Here is a 15,520-nt window from a genome sequence, read left to right on the forward strand (position 1 = left end):
GAGATTTTTATTTACCTTTTCAGTAAAACCACAGAAGAAAACAAATAGAGGGAAGGAGAAAGACAGATTTAGCTGGCCTCATGCTGTCTTTACTAGGTCTTAATGTTTAGGAAACTCAGTCTCCTATCAAAGAGAAAATGTTTTTGTATTATAATTTTGGCCAAATGAATGACTGTTTTATAGTGACTTCTGATCCTATTTTGTGATATCAAGTGTCTTAAAACCTTTGATATTTGACAGACTTCCCAACAGCAAAATATCAAGTTCTAAATTCTCTGACCTTAAACTAACTTTTTCAGCTATTAGGTTCCCTGAAGTCCAAGAGAGACATATTAGGCATATTAGGCTTATGTGTTATGTTAGAATTATTTAAGCCGGGCATGGTGGCTCTTGCCTGTAATTGCAACACTTTGGGAAGACAAGATGGGTAGATTGCTTGAGCCCAGGAGTAAAGAGACCAGCCTGGACAACATGGCAAAACCCCATCTCTACCCAAAAAATACAAAAATTAGCTGGGTGTGATGGCGCATGCCTGTAGTCTCAGCTACTCTGGAGGCTGAGGTTAGAGGATTGCTTGAGCCCAGGGGGCAGAGACTGTAGTGAGCCAAGATCGCATCAGTGCACTCCAGCCTGGGCAACAGAGTGAGACCCTGTCTCAAAAAAAAAAAAAAAAAATGTGGCCGGGCGCAGTGGCTCATGCCTTTAATCCCAGCACTTTGGGAGGTCGAGGCGGGTGGATCGTGAGGTCAGGAGATCGAGACTATCCTGGCTAACACGGTGAAACCCCATCTCTACTAAAAAAATGAAAAAAAAAATTAGCCGGGCGTGGTGGCAGGCGCCTGTAGTCCCAGCTACTAGGGAGGCTGAGGCAGGAGAGTGGCGTGAACCCGAGAGCAGAGCTTGCAGTGAGCCGAGATCATGCCACTGCACTCCAGCCTGGGTGACAGAGCGAGACTCTGACACACACACAAAAAAAAATGTAGGAAGCATTGTCAAATCTGAGATGTTGTTTAGCTCCCTTTGGTTATGTTTATATAGATGTGTTGTCAATGTGTTCCAGGATTATATTAGATTCTTATAATTCTGATATGTCTTAATATGTTGTCAGTAATAATTATGATTTTCATGTTAAATTGTTGTATCCCACAGAAATAACCAAATTTCCTTGTCAACAGTGTCTTTAACTGTGGTTGTCCTAAGACTTTTGTCATCCACAATTGTTGTTTTGTGTTGATTCTTCACAAAAAGTGACTTATAATCAGCTACTGTCCAGGGCTTGTTTCTTTGGGGGGAGTTCATGAAAAGGACTCTTGAATACAAGTTTCTGATAACTTCGGAGATTGTGCCATTGGATGTGAGAGAAAACTTCCAGTGCACTAATGGAAACACTGATGTGTTCACAAAGATGGCTAACTCAACATGAAGCAGAGCAGGAGTTGTCTGCATGGACGGAACTAATGGAGGACTGAAATAACTTTTATGGCTTTTTTGTTTGAAATATTGCTCATTCTTTTTGTTTTTCAGAGTCTGAAGAATTTTTTTCTTTTGAGTCATCCTTTAAGTATCTTTTAAGTATAGTGAGTAGAGTATACTTTTGTAAACAGAATTTGAGGCATATTTCTCTAATTTATCCAGAATTTATAAACTATTTGTGAGTATTCTTAATTCATGGCAATGTGTTTGTTTGCATACAGTTAATAACAACATGTTTTCTTTGGTAATGGGACACAGTTGAAGGAACTGGTTGTTTTCCCAGGGCTTTGACTAAAATGGCCTTGAGAGAGGTTCTAGCAAAGCCAATTTAGGAGAGCCTATGAGAACAGTGATTCTTGTTCCATTTTGTGTGGGTAATCAGGCCAAGTATATGGGACTGAAGCTTATTTTGCAGGTAGATTGGTCCTGCTGTGATGTCTTTGTGAAAGTGGTAGACTGGAGAAAAAGATTGTGTTTCAGAAGAAAAACTTTAGTATTAGATTAGCCTTTGATTCCTGGATGGTCATGAGGTCTTCCATGGTATGGAGCTGCCCACAATGCCTCTCCTCAGCAGGAAGGAGACAGAAAGATGGATGACCAGATGCCCCATGGTTGAGGAATCTATAAACAAGGGGAGACTGAAACCCACTCAATTTTTTCAGTAAACATAGAAATTGATACTTTTTGCCTTAAAGCTTGAAATTTCTATTGGTTTTATCTGAGTTCTTTCCTCAGGAAATTACTTCAGGCATCTCAAAAAAAAAAGTGTTGAAGAACTGAAACTTACCAGATCATCACATCCATACAATGAGACTCCAGGCCCCTCATTCACCATGATTGCTTCCTTGCCCCCCCCTAGTTCCTGTTTTCCTACACAGTGCTACATTTCTTTCCTGCTATATAAACCCCTGATTTTAGGTGGTCAGGGAGATGGATTTGAGACTGAACTCCCATCTCCTTGGCTGCAGCAGCCGATTAAAGCCTTCTTCCTTGGCTGTACTCATCATTTCAGTCATTGGCTTTCACTGCTGTGAGCAGCAGCACCTAGACCAAACTCTTGGTGTTTTGGTAACAAAACCACATTATGAGGAAGGTATTATTATGTCTCCATATCCCAGATGAGGAAACAGATTGAGTGAGTTACCCAGCTATGAAGGCTGAGCCAGATCTGACTGCAAAGCTCACAGTCTGGGCCGCTGAGCCACACTGGACCCCTCTGCACTGCTCACTTATTTTCACACTGTGCTGCCTGCTTTCTATCTACAGTATGACTCCATGTATAATGCAGCTTCCTGAGGAATAAAGGGCATGGCTAACATTTCTTTCAGAAATCTCAGTGCCAGCCTATAGTGAACTCCCAAGGGGATTTCTGGCAGGGTCTTTGGCTCCCACCTATTCCTGAAGGTCTGAGGATCTGAAGAGCTAAAGATGGGGAAGAATGGGGCAGACATGGAAGATCAGGTAAGATTAGCTTAAGGAGGTGAGTCTACCTCATCTCCAGCCAACAGAAATTCTAGCACACTGGAGGCAAAGAACAGAGAGCAGTGAGGAAATAGAAAGGCCAGGGATTGCTTCCTTATGGGATGGCTGTGTTGTGCTGTCTGCTTTGACGTTGACATTGCTGTTGTTTCTAGGCCCTGATTATGCAGAGGCAGAGGGCTGAGCCAGACTCCACCCGACTCCAGCCCCAGGGATCACTCTAACTCCAGACGGGCAGGTTAAGTTGAGGCTGCACAAAAATCTTTAATTAAGTTACTGCAATGCAAAAGAGTCAGAAGACAGCCCAACCACACAGTCCATGTGGCACGGTGATAGTGTGTGGACACTAACAATCATGGCAGGTGTTTCTGAAGTTGGGAAGAGGGCAGAACACTCAAGTTTTCATTAAGAAGAGTAGCTCCAGACTTCCGTTTGACAGCACAATGTTTTAAAAATCTGGCATGCCTATCTCCAAAGACTACCTCCAGTTTGCCCAGGTCTCCACCCCACCCCATTATTCACACCCATTAGCCACCCAGCCCCCTTAGACTTCGGGATCTGCAAACCTTGTAGTGAGGCATGTGAACTTAAATGCACTGTAGGAAGAAAGAAAACTACCTTCTGTCGCACAGGAGGGCTGTGGGTCTGCCTGCCTGGATCCACGCCACTGTGGCCCATCCGGGTCTCTGCCCTCCCCGCTTCCCCCTCCTCACTCAGGTCTCCTCCCTCCGGCCGGGCGAGGTGGCTCACACCTGTAATCCCAGCACTTTGGGAGGCCGAGGTGGGTGGATCACGACATCAGGAGATCAAGTCCATCCTGGCTAACATGGTGAAACCCCATCTCTACTAAAAATGCAAAAAAAAATTAGCTGGGCGTGGTGGCGGGCGCCTGTAGTCCCAGCTACTCGGGAGGCTGAGGCAGGAGAATGGTGTGATCCCGGGAAGAGGAGCTTGCAGTGAGCCGAGATCACGCCACTGCACTCCAGCCTGGGCGATAGAGCGAGACTCCGTCTCAAAAAAAAAAGGTCTCCTCCCCTCCTCCCTCCAGGCCAGTGGTAACACTGGGATCTGGGTAGCAGGGAGACAGACAGGGGAGGAGAGGGCCTGCTTAAGTGTCAAGGCAATCAATTTCACCAAAGTTTACACTGGAGTATCAAGGCCCGGTTAAAAAATGGGGTACTTTGGTTTCCTGTTCACCTTGTTGGAAACCTCACAGGGAGACAATGGCCAGTCAAGGTAGGAGTCACACAATTCTTGAGTCCAATCCTTGACAGCACCTACACCTTCATAGCCCAACCATGACTGCTAATGTGCATTGGTCTAGATGCACAGCACACAGGATCATGCCGGAAGCACGCAGGATCATACCGGAAGCGCACGGCCTCAGAATATGCAGCAAGATCACTCGGAATCCTGCCGCCCAGAGTCAAAGTATTAATATTTTGGCTTCTCCCCAATACTATGGATATATAATTAGCATATATATGACTTTTACAAATCAGATAAAACAAGGCTATTTTTATTTGGGAAGAAAAATAAGGCAAATGAAGCAATTATTTGATCTGTCCTAATGACAGCTAAGTGATAGCAGGATCTGTGAACTCACAGGGAAGTCAGATTGAACAACCCGGCTGAACCCGCAGCCACTGCCATGAACTTTGGGCAACAGACACGGGCTTTAATAATTTTGGCTGGCTCAGCTGGGCTCACTCATGCGGCTTGCAATGAGTAGTGGGTTGTCTGGGGGCTGGTCTAGGATGGCTTCCCTCATCTGTTTAGCAGTCGGTGCTGTGCTGGATGGTGCTGGCTGGTAGCTGGGCCACACACCTCCCGCTGACTAGGCTGGGCTGACCAGATGAGGAGGGAAGAAGGGTCCCCAGCAGGAAGCGAACGAATCTCAATGCACATGCACTTTCCAGGCCTTCTGCTGTGCATGCCACATGTGCTAATAACCGACTGGCCGATGCAAGCCCGTGGCTAAGCCCAGAGTAAGGGGGTGAGAGGAGCAAAGTCACAATGCACAGGGGAGTGCAGACAGAGACGGGAACAATTTGTGACCATACTCAGTTATTCTGGCCAACAGTATGTGGGAAAACTAAAGGTTTCAAATCAGGAGAACAGACCAATCCAGATCAAAACACAGTTCAAGATTAGGCCAGGGCAGAGACCTAGGTAGCAAGTTAAAAACAGGTCAGAGACCCAGTTACTGGAAATGCCTGCGTCCAAGCACAAGAAATTCAGTCACTTAGGAGACACAGTACAGGCCTACCTAGTTTCAGAGATCACTGCTGGTGGTTTATTAACTCCTAGTCCATTCAGAAAGATGATTCACTTTTAGGTGGAGCTGGGTGCCAGGGTGACCATGTACAGATGGTGGAGAAACCAAGATCGAAGCGTACAGGCCCCTAAAGATGGCGATTTCAGATAGGGACTCAGGCCAGACAAGGCAGTGTGTTTGGCTCCTGGAGTTGGGGTGGTCACCAAGATGTCAACACAGCCTAAGTCAGGGCGGCCTGGTCCCTTGAGGACTAGAATGGCCCACCTGCTACGTGGAAATGAGTCTAGCTCCAAATCTTAAGAACTAAAACACTCCTGATCTGTAGGTCCGTGTTACAACTTTGTTTACTTGATTTGCTTTTCTTTTTTCTTTTCTTTTCTTTTCTTTTTTTTTTTTTTTTTTTGAGACAGGGTCTCGCTCTGTCACCTAGGCTGGAGTGCAGTGGTGCAATCTTGGCTCACTGCAATCTCTGCCTCCCACGTTCAAGCGATTCTCCTGCCTCAGCCTCCTGAGTAGCTGCGATTACAGGCACCCACCATCACGCCCAGCTGATTTTTTTGTATTTTTAGTAGAGATGGGGTTTTACTACGTTGGCCAGGCTGGTCTCGAACTCCTGACCTCAGGTGATCCACCTGCCTTGGCCTCCCAAAGTGCTGGGATTTGCTTTTCTTCTTAAAACACAGCTTCATCCTCTAAACTTCTTACTTGAGACCTAATGCAGGCCAAGCACTGGGCATACAATGGTGAACAAAGACAAAGCAGTAAAGTATCTGCTAATGAGGTTCTCCAAGGTCAAGCGACCTTCTATTATGAAATGTAAACATGCTAAGTTTTAAGTTTCTTATTGTGCCACCCTGTTAGAAAAAGATTAGTCTCAGATGACAGCTTTTTGTTTTTCAAGTTCACTAAGATCCCTTGGCATGGTATGAGTTGTGATAATTTCTTTTATCTTCTAATGTTTTAATATTTTTTTAAATCAACTTCCCCCCGTTTAAGTTCATTTTTACAGGTTCAGAATCCATATGTACCATTTCTACTATTTAATACCATTAGTTTTTAATAGGTCTAACACACACAGAATATTCATGCAGATGTAGTGAAATTTCAACCACGTGACATTTTCTAATATGAAACGTTAAAAAAGAATCAGAATATGGCTGGGCACAGTGGCTCACGCCTGTAATCCGAGCACTTTGGGAGACCAAGGCAGGTAGATCACCTGAGATCAGGAGTTAGAGACCAGCCTGGCCAACATGGCAAAACCCCATCTCTAATAAAAAATACTAAAATCAGCCAGACGTGGTGGCACATGCCTGTAGTCCCAGCTACTCGGGAGGCTGAAGGAGGAGAATTGCTTGAACCCGGGAGGCAGAAGTTAGAGTAAGCCAAGATCGTGCCACTGCACTCCAGCCTGGGCAACAAAGTGAGACTCTATCCCACCAAAAAAAAAAAAAAAAAAAAAAATCAGAATATGGGAAGTGGGCCAAACTGCAAGGTGGAATAGACGGTGAGAAAAAAGTGTATGAGGAATATGACTGGAAACATTACCTTCGGAGACTCTAGAAAAGGTTCCTGTGACTCAGTCAAAACAATTGCTGAGCTAATAGGTTCAGGCTAGCAGGTTCAGGCTCTGGGGACAGGAAACGTGCCTGTTGCTTATTTCTGCGTCCATAATGGCTAGTACAGAGACCACACGTCACTGCATAGTGAGGGACACTGGGGGTGTGATGTATGGTCTGTCCTGAGGGAGCCCACGACCTACAGTGGTAGACAAAGACCACAAAACAGGGTGTCAGGGAAGATGCCTGTGGACACAAGCTATTTGGACCCAAAAGTCAATGCAACCCGATTGGAAAGATACATCATTTATACTTCTTGACAAAAGGATTAAGTTGGTTTTCCTTACATTCCTTTTGCCTGATATGTGGTCAGGGACATTTTAACCTTGGGGTTTCTGAACATCTAAGCACCACAGGTCATACACGGTGTTGCTGTTGACAAGACTTCACAATCATTAACCTCCTGGTCTCTGAACTCATTGCACTGACCAAAATACTTACAAAAACAAAGTTTGGTTTCAGTCCTTTTACCTTGGACTCTCTGTGCGGGAATGGTACATTTGAAGATCTTGCGATGTAAGAAAGAGAAAAAGGTAGCTTTATTTAAAAGTCACTCAAGACTAAGAATCCAGTACTTCCTAGGGGGTGCAATATGACACAACATAACTGGATTTTCCTGAAGTTATTTGCCAGTTATTTGAGAAGGAAGAGGTAGTTGGTCACAAGATATCCTAAGCTTCCCTTTTCCTGCCAAAGAAGTACAACCAGTTCTGCATATTTAACTCAGCTTAAATGTGTGTGTTATAAAAATAAAGTACCTGCTACTGAGGAAAGATTTGTATGTACTCCCTTAAAATCCTAGGTACATAAGAATTCAGTACATTTGCTTCTTCTAGAATATGACTGCTAACAGTCATAAGTTATTTAGGTTTTTCTGGTTCAAAAATCTTACAGACTGTATCTAAAAGTTAAATCTAATCAGGCACCAATGATATTAAGAAATACAGCTCTTAATTAAGCATAGTAGGATAACAGGAAAGCCTTTAACCTGGTTAAAAAAAAAACAAAAAAACTTATCCACAACCCTCCATCATTCAGCATCATCAGTCCTGATGCCTGAAAGGACTTTAAAAATCTTTAATGATGCATCTAAAAATAAGGCCTAAAACACAAATACCCAAGAAATAGAACAAAGGACTTTCAATTAGGAACCGTGGGATTTTCTCTTAATTACAAGTGGGTTGGAATTGGCTTTACAGGATAAAAGATGAAATGATAACAGAATTGAAAAGTCTATGGTAGCAGCGAGCAAACTACAGCCCACAGGCCAAATCTGGCCCATCTCCTATTTTTATATGGCCTGTGAGATAAGGATGTGATATGGTTTGGCTGTGTTCCCACCCAAATGTCATCTTGAATTGTAGCTCCCATAATTCCCATGTGTTGGGGGAGGGACCTGGTGGGAGATAACTGAATCACAGGGGCAGGTGTTTCCCATGCTATTCTCATAACAGTGAATAAGTCTCACGAGATCTGATGGTTTTATAAAGCGGAGTTTCCCTGCACAAGTTCTCTTGTTGGCCACTCTGTGAGATGTGCCGTTCACCTTCAACCATGATTGTGAGGCCTCCCCAGCCGCGTGAACTATGACTCCATTAAACCTTTTTCTTTCTTAAATTGTTCAGTCTCAGGTATGTCTTTATTAGCAGCATGAAAACAGACTAATACCGGATGGTTTTTACATTTTTAAACAGTTGGGAAAATTTTAAAATAACATTTTGTGACTCTGAAAATTATACGAACAAAGTTCGATGTTAATCCATAAAGTTTTATTGGAATACAACCACCTCTATTTGATTATTGATTGTCTATGGCTGCTTTTACTTTACAACGAACGGCTGAAACAGAGACCATATGACCCACAAAGCCTACAATATTTACTATCTGGTCTTTACAGAAACAGTTTGTCAACTCCTTGTCTGGAGTCCACTTGGGGCTGGCTTAAAGCATGACCTAATCAGAGATTCACGGGTCTCCTCTTCCCTTGGAGGTACTCTCCTTCTCCAGTACTGGGCCAGCTATGAAGCTAATGTCTCTCAGCTCCAAACCTACCTGTTGCATATACTGTCACCAGAAAACTGATTAAAAGTCCACGCCCAGGCTGGGCACAGTGGCTCACACCTGTAATCCCAGCACTTTGGGAGGCCAAGGCAGGCGGATCACAAGGTCAGGAGATCGAGACCATCCTGGCTAACACAGTGAAACCCCGTCTCTACTAAAAATATAAAAAATTAGCTGGGCGTGGTGGCGAGCACCTGTAGCCCCAGCTACTCCGGAGGCTGAGGCAGGAGAATGGCATGAACCTGGGAGGCGGAGCTTGCAGTGAGCCAAGATCGAGCCACTGCACTCCAGCCTGGGCAACAGAGCAAGACTTTTCATCTCAAAAAAAAAAAGAAAAAAGAAAAAAAAAAGTCCATGCCTGGCCAGGCACAGTGGTTCACAACTGTAATCCCAGCACCTTGGGAGGCTGAGGTGAGCTGATCACTTCCAGACAAGCCTGGCCAATATGGCGAAACCCTGTCTCTACAAAAAAATACAAAAATTAGCTGGGCGTGGTGGTGCACACCCCTAATCCCAGCTACTTGGGAGCCTGAGGTGAGAGGATCAACTGAACCCAGGAAGTGGAGGCTGCAGTGAGCCAAGATCACACCACCCCACTCCAGCCTGGGTGATGGAGACAGACATGGTCTCAAAAAAAATAAAATAAAATAAATGTCCAGGCCTCCTGAAAAGCCAGGATAGCCCTCAAGGACAGAAGGAGAAGCATTTTTTAGCAGCCACCATTTCCAAAGTGGAGCTTGCTATGCTCTTTAATACACAAATGTGGGAATAAAAGATGAATTTAATTAAGTAGATGTAATTTACTCAGGAAGACCACAAATTCCTTAACATTCTTTACAATTATAAAATTAACGGCTTTTTTATTATCAATAAATTACTTCCTATTGCTCCCTAAATCACCTCCATAAAACCAAATATTAAGCTGTTTGTGTTACATTTCCTGTGATGCCTTTTAAAAACATTTTGGGCTGGGTGCAGTGGCTCACGCCTGTAATCCCAGCACTTTGGGAGGCCAAGATGGGTGGATCACGAGGTCAGGAGATCGAGACCATCCTGGCTAACACAGTGAAACCCCGTCTCTGCTAAAAATACAAAAAAAAATTAGCCGGGCGTGGTGGCGGGCGCCTGTAGTCCCAGCTACTCAGGAGGCTGAGGCAGGAGAATGGCATGAACCTAGGAGGTGGAGCTTGCAGCGAGCAGAGATCGCTCCACTGCACTCCACTCCGGCCTAGGTGGCAGAGCGAGACTCCAAAAAAAAAAAAAAAAAAAAAAAAAAACAAAAAAAAAAAACTGACAACAACAACATTTTGGGCCAGGCTCAGTGGCTCACACCTATAATCCCATATAATCCTAGCACTTCGGGAGGCTGAGGTGGGTGGATCACCTGAGGTCAGGAGTCAGCCTGACTAACATGGTGAAACCCCACCTCTACTAAAAATACCAAATTTAACCAGGCGTGGTGGCTTGTGCCTGTAATCTCAGCTAATTGGGAGGCCGAGACAGGCGAATTGCTTGAACCCAGGAGGCAGAGGTTGCAGTGAGCCAAGATCGCGCCATTGCACTCCAGCCTGGGCAACAAGAGCAAAACTCAATCCCCAAAAAAAAAAAAAAAAAATTGATTCAATCTGAAAACATCTTTTTGCCTCATAGTTTTTTGTTTTGTTTTGTTTTGTTTTTAGAATTAGTGCTCTATCAAGGGTTTTTTTTTTCTTTCTCCTGACTATATGACTTTGAGCTATTTTTACTGAGGCTTAAAATTTATTTCAAGACTACCTGAAGACTTCTACTTCCAGCACTATGATGGACCAGAATCCCTGAAGGGCCTCTCTTTTCAAAATCTCAGGATCCTTCATAAAACTAGTTTTTATGCACAGAGAGTCGCAGCAAATGCAGAAAGAAAAAATTTTAAGGCTTCCCCTTTAATCAAAAATGTTTTTACATTAAAAAGTACTACTCAAAGAAGATATGCAGATGACAAACATACGAAAAGATGCTCCACATCATATGTCATCAGAGAAATGCAAGTCAAAACAAGGAGATGCCATTAGGCCAGGCTTGGTGGCTCACACCTGTAATCCCAGCACTTTGGGAGGCCGAGGCGGGTGGATCACCTGAGGTCAGGAGTTTGAGACCAGCCTGGTCAATGTGGTGAAAACCTATCTCTACTAAAAATACAAAAAAATTAGCTGGGCGTAGTGGCAGTCGCCTGTAATCCCAGCTACTCGGGAGGCTGAGGCAGGAGAATCGCTTGAACCTGGGAGGCAGAGGTTGCAGTGAGCCGAGATCGTGCCATTGCACTCCAGCCTGAGCTACAGAGGGAGACTGTCTCAAAACAAAACAAGAAACAAAAAAACAAGGAGATACCATTATTTGCCTATTAGAATGGCTAAAATCCAGAACACTGACACCACCACATGCTGGTAAGGATATGGAGCAATGGGATCTCTCCTTCATTGTTGGTGGGAATGCAAAATAGGACAGCCATTTTGGAAGGCAGTTTTGCAATTTCTTACAAAGCTAAACAACCTGTTACCATCCAATCTAGCAATTGTGCTTTTTGGTATTCACCCAAAGGAGTTGGAAACTTATGTCCATACAAAAACCTGCACATGGAATTTAGAGCAACTTTACTCATAATTGCCAAAACCTGGAAGCACCCAAGATGTTCTTCAGTGGGTGAATAGATAAATAAATTGTGGTACATCCAGGCAATGCAATATCATTCAAGCTCAAGCCATGAAAAGACATGGAGGAAACTTAAATGCATTTTACTAAGTAAAAGAAGCCAGTCTGCAAAGCCTACATACTGTATGATTTCAATTATATAACATTCTGGAAAAGGTAAAACTGTGGAGACCGTAAAAGGATCAGTGGTTGCCAGCGGTTGGGGGGAAGGGAGGGATGGAAAGGAAGAATTTGAGAGCAGTGGGATTATTCTGTGTAATACTACAAGGGTAGATACATGTCAGTATACATTTCTCCAAATCCATAGAGTGTAAACACCAAGTGAATCTTTTTTTTTTTTTTTTTTCAAGACAGAGTCTCACTCTGTAGCCCAAGCTGGAGTGCAATGGTGTGATCTCAGCTCACTGCAATCTCCGCCACCCAGGCTCAAGTGACTCTCATGTCTCAGCCTCTCGAGTAGCTGGGATTACAGGTGCCCGCCACCATGCCCAGATAATTTTTTTGATTTTAGTAGAGATAGAGTTTCACCATGTTGCTTAGGGTGGTCTCCAACTCCTGAGCTCAGGCAAAAGGGTTTATTACGAGAATTTAATACAGTAAGATTACTAGGCCACAAGCTCCGTGGCAAAAAAAAAGACTGTGTCTACATTATCCACTATGTATCCCTAGTGAACAGAACATGGCTGGCAGGTAGTTGGTTCTGAAATGCCAAGTCCCCTTCCTTCCAAAACAGTACAGTCTATGTGAGTGGTTTTTCGGTGTTGTTTTACTTTTGATTTTTGTCTGGTTGGCTTTGCATTTTATTATTTTATTTATGTTGAGGCAAAGTCTCACTCTGCTGCCCAGGCTGGAGTACAGTGGTGCAATCATAGCTCACTGTAGCCTGGAACTACTGGGCTCAAGCAATCCTTCTGCCTCAGCCTCCCGAGTAGCTAGGACTACTATCTAGGTGGGTGCCAACACATTGGCTATTTTTTTCTTTTTTTTCTGTAGAGACGGGGTCTCACTATGTTGCCCACACTGGTCTTGAACTCCTGGCCTCAAATGATCCTCCCACCTCAGCCTCCCAAAGTGCTGGGATTACAGGTGTGAGCTACCAGGCCTGGACAAGGTTTTTGTTTTTTAGATTGACATTTTACCCTCGCATTGACTATTTGTAACAACATGGAAGAAGTAACTTAACTTCTCTGTGTTCAAGTTCTTAATGTGTAAAACAACACCAGGTTAGGGTATATAATTTCTTCATGCCTATAGTTTAACACTATACCCTACATATTAATCTTTTCAAAATGCAGACAATAAAGTAAGCATATTTTTGTTGCACAAAAATGCAAATTCAAGTCATATATTCATGGACACCCTCCAAATAAGGATAATAACCAGCTAACGCGTGTCTGAGATGGTCAGAACCCTGTTCCGTGACGGCACCGCAGGGGGACGCGCCATGCGGTGAGGGTGCTCCACGCCAGTGCCTTTGCTTCTGGGCACGCTGCAATGGCTTCTTTCCCCTGTCCTTGACCTCCCTCACTCTCAGCCTTTCTTTGGTTCCCGTGACTACCATCCCTAAAACAGCCCTCCGCATTCTTAGCACTCAGCATTAAGTAAATTCATGCACTCTCACACCTTTAACTAGTACCGCTGTCACAGTTAATAATAACCACATAAACAGCTCCAGTTCTGTCCTCTCACATGAGTGCTAAACCTCTAACTAAAATTCAAGATGTTTTCATTTGGGTCCTACCATTACTAGATCAACAGGTCAAAACAAGCTGCAGGACCTCTGTTCCTAAACTGTAATGCCCCTGCAGCTATGGCTGTCACATGCTGGAAGCGAGTTCCTCCTGCCTAGATGGAAGCAGGAAACCCCAGCCCTCCAGCCCCGGGGCAAACAGCTGGAGAAGCCTGCAAAGTCACTCACGCTTGATGCAGATCCTCTTAGCAAGAAGGGTCATTTCCTCCCCCATGGGAGCCCTTCCCCAGTGTGAATTCACATTCCAGCCACTGTAGGCCTGGCCTTTACCAACTCAGAGGCACTGCAGTAGCCATCAGACGAAAATGTGACATCACAGATCCTCATAGCCTTGAGGATATGACAAACAAGACCAACTGAGAGAAACAGACCCACTTCCATTCCTTCTGGAGAGCGCCGGCTGGCCCACCTGATGTTTTCCAGGGCGTTCCTTATCTGCTGTTGCTCAATGTCATAGAGTTTCACCTGGAAGCCTCCACTGGCAAACAGCATGGCCCAGCTTCGCCCAATGACTCCACTGAAGGGAGATAAAAGAAAGGATTCGAGTTAATTTAATAATCGAATGGCTTTTCATTCCTAACCCAGAATGAGTTTTTTTTAAATTCACAGTATCCTATTCTTAAAATATTCAATACATATCTTAAAAGTACACATTTTAGCCGGGCACAGAAAGACAAATATCACATGTTCTCACTCATGTGAAAGCTGAAAACATTGATCTGATGAAGGTGGAGAATAAAATGGTGGTTAACAGAGGCTGGACGGGGGTGGGAGAGGGAGGAAGAGAGGTTGGTGAGTGGGTGCAAACATACAGTTAACAGAAAAAGTAAGTTCTAGAGCTTGATAGCACTGTAGGGTAACTAGAGTTCACAACAATGTGTTGTATATTTCAGAACAGCTAGAAGATCTGAAATGTTCCCAGCACAAAGAAATGATAAATGTTAAAGGTGATGGGTGTGCTAATACCCTGACTTGATCGTTACACATTCTATGCATGTAACAAAATATCACAGGTACCCCATAAGTATGTAGGAATATTAGGTATGAATTTTTTTAAGTACACGTTTTAATAACATTATTTATTTTAAATGTTAACTGTTTCCACCCAGGAGCTCCTGAGCCCTCAACTCCAGTGCTGGTATTCATATTCCACATGGAGCCCTGCAGCATCTCAGGTATTTATCATGTACTCACACGCTGAATAAAATATTACAGTCAGGAGGTAGCAGGGTACCATGGAGACACAAGACCCGTTAGTGAACTTCCATTTGACCATGTCTTAGGCAAGTCAATTAATTTAAAAGAACAGAGAGAGCATCTGCCCTGTCCTCCCCAATAATTACTGCCACTGCCACTGCCACCCACATTTCAGCATGGATTAGGTATCAGGCACCATCAAACATACCACAGGTCTTACCTATGTTAATCTTTACAACAACCCTACAAGGTAGGTGTTATTAGTATTTCCATTTTATATGTAGGGAAACTGAGGCATGGAGGAATTAAGCCTACATAAGTGATAAACTGAGGCATGGAGGAATTAAGTCCACAAGGGTGATAAGTTATGGATCTATGAGATGAAGCCAAGCAATCTGACTCCTGAGTCCTTCCTCTTAACCACTACACTCCAACTGCTGTTTCAGACTTCCTGAAAAGTGAAAAGACAAAAAAAGTCATAAAGAGTTCACATGGGGTTGTTCAAAGAGTGAAAAACAAATGTACAGAACACATCTAGAGTCCAAGTCTTGGTTTCCAATACTATTCTCCAGTAATAGGAAGCAGGACTCCCTGGAGAAATGGCTAATTTGAAGACAGAGCCAGAAAATATACAAGATGAGCCCGGAGCAGTTTGTAGCACCAAAAAGAAAAAGAAAGTATTAAAAAAAAAAAAAAAAACGCATCGATGGGGCATGTCAAAGGGATAGGGGCCCGATATAGGAGCTCCCAATGGCCAAAGCTGGAACTTGAGCCACAAAATTAATACAGCAATACTGGATTATAACACAAAGTATAACACAAATAAATGCTTGAATAAATGAAGAAGAAGCCAAATCTCCCTTGCAGAAAAATGCCAAATAATTTATGTAGTTACTCCCCCTTAGGCAGGTAGGGCATCACCCCCACTTCCGTGTGCAGAGTGACCTCCTTCCAAAAAGCACAGTATGGAAGAGGGAA

General features: G+C 43.8%; 1 protein-coding gene across 3 annotated transcripts in view, besides 2 other annotated features; it reads right to left on the bottom strand.

Moving 5' to 3' along the window:
• The window catches only part of CRYL1 (crystallin lambda 1), a 122,189-nt gene that overhangs the window by 95,020 nt on the left and 11,649 nt on the right, over positions 1 to 15,520 (bottom strand). For all 3 annotated transcript variants that reach the window (NM_001363647.2, NM_015974.3, XM_005266416.6), the window contains exon 2: positions 13,755 to 13,862. In NM_001363647.2, coding sequence (NP_001350576.1) covers positions 13,755 to 13,862 — 108 coding nt within the window. The remainder of the gene's footprint in view (positions 1 to 13,754; positions 13,863 to 15,520) is intronic.
• Positions 3,270 to 4,266: an enhancer, noted in NCBI's record as "H3K4me1 hESC enhancer chr13:21076097-21077093 (GRCh37/hg19 assembly coordinates)". NCBI's record gives its function as "activates a minimal SCP1, AML or CMV promoter by ChIP-STARR-seq in primed H9 embryonic stem cells {active_cell/tissue: H9 hESC(primed)}" and the evidence as "EXISTENCE:reporter gene assay evidence [ECO:0000049][PMID:30033119]".
• Positions 8,182 to 8,476: an enhancer, noted in NCBI's record as "tiled region #6807; HepG2 Activating non-DNase unmatched - State 6:EnhF, and K562 Activating non-DNase unmatched - State 24:Quies". NCBI's record gives its function as "activates a minimal TATA promoter and a strong SV40 promoter by Sharpr-MPRA in HepG2 and K562 cells {active_cell/tissue: HepG2 | K562}" and the evidence as "EXISTENCE:reporter gene assay evidence [ECO:0000049][PMID:27701403]".

The sequence above is a fragment of the Homo sapiens genome, chromosome 13 (assembly GCF_000001405.40).
Source record: "Homo sapiens chromosome 13, GRCh38.p14 Primary Assembly".
Classification (NCBI taxonomy): Eukaryota; Metazoa; Chordata; class Mammalia; order Primates; family Hominidae; genus Homo; species Homo sapiens.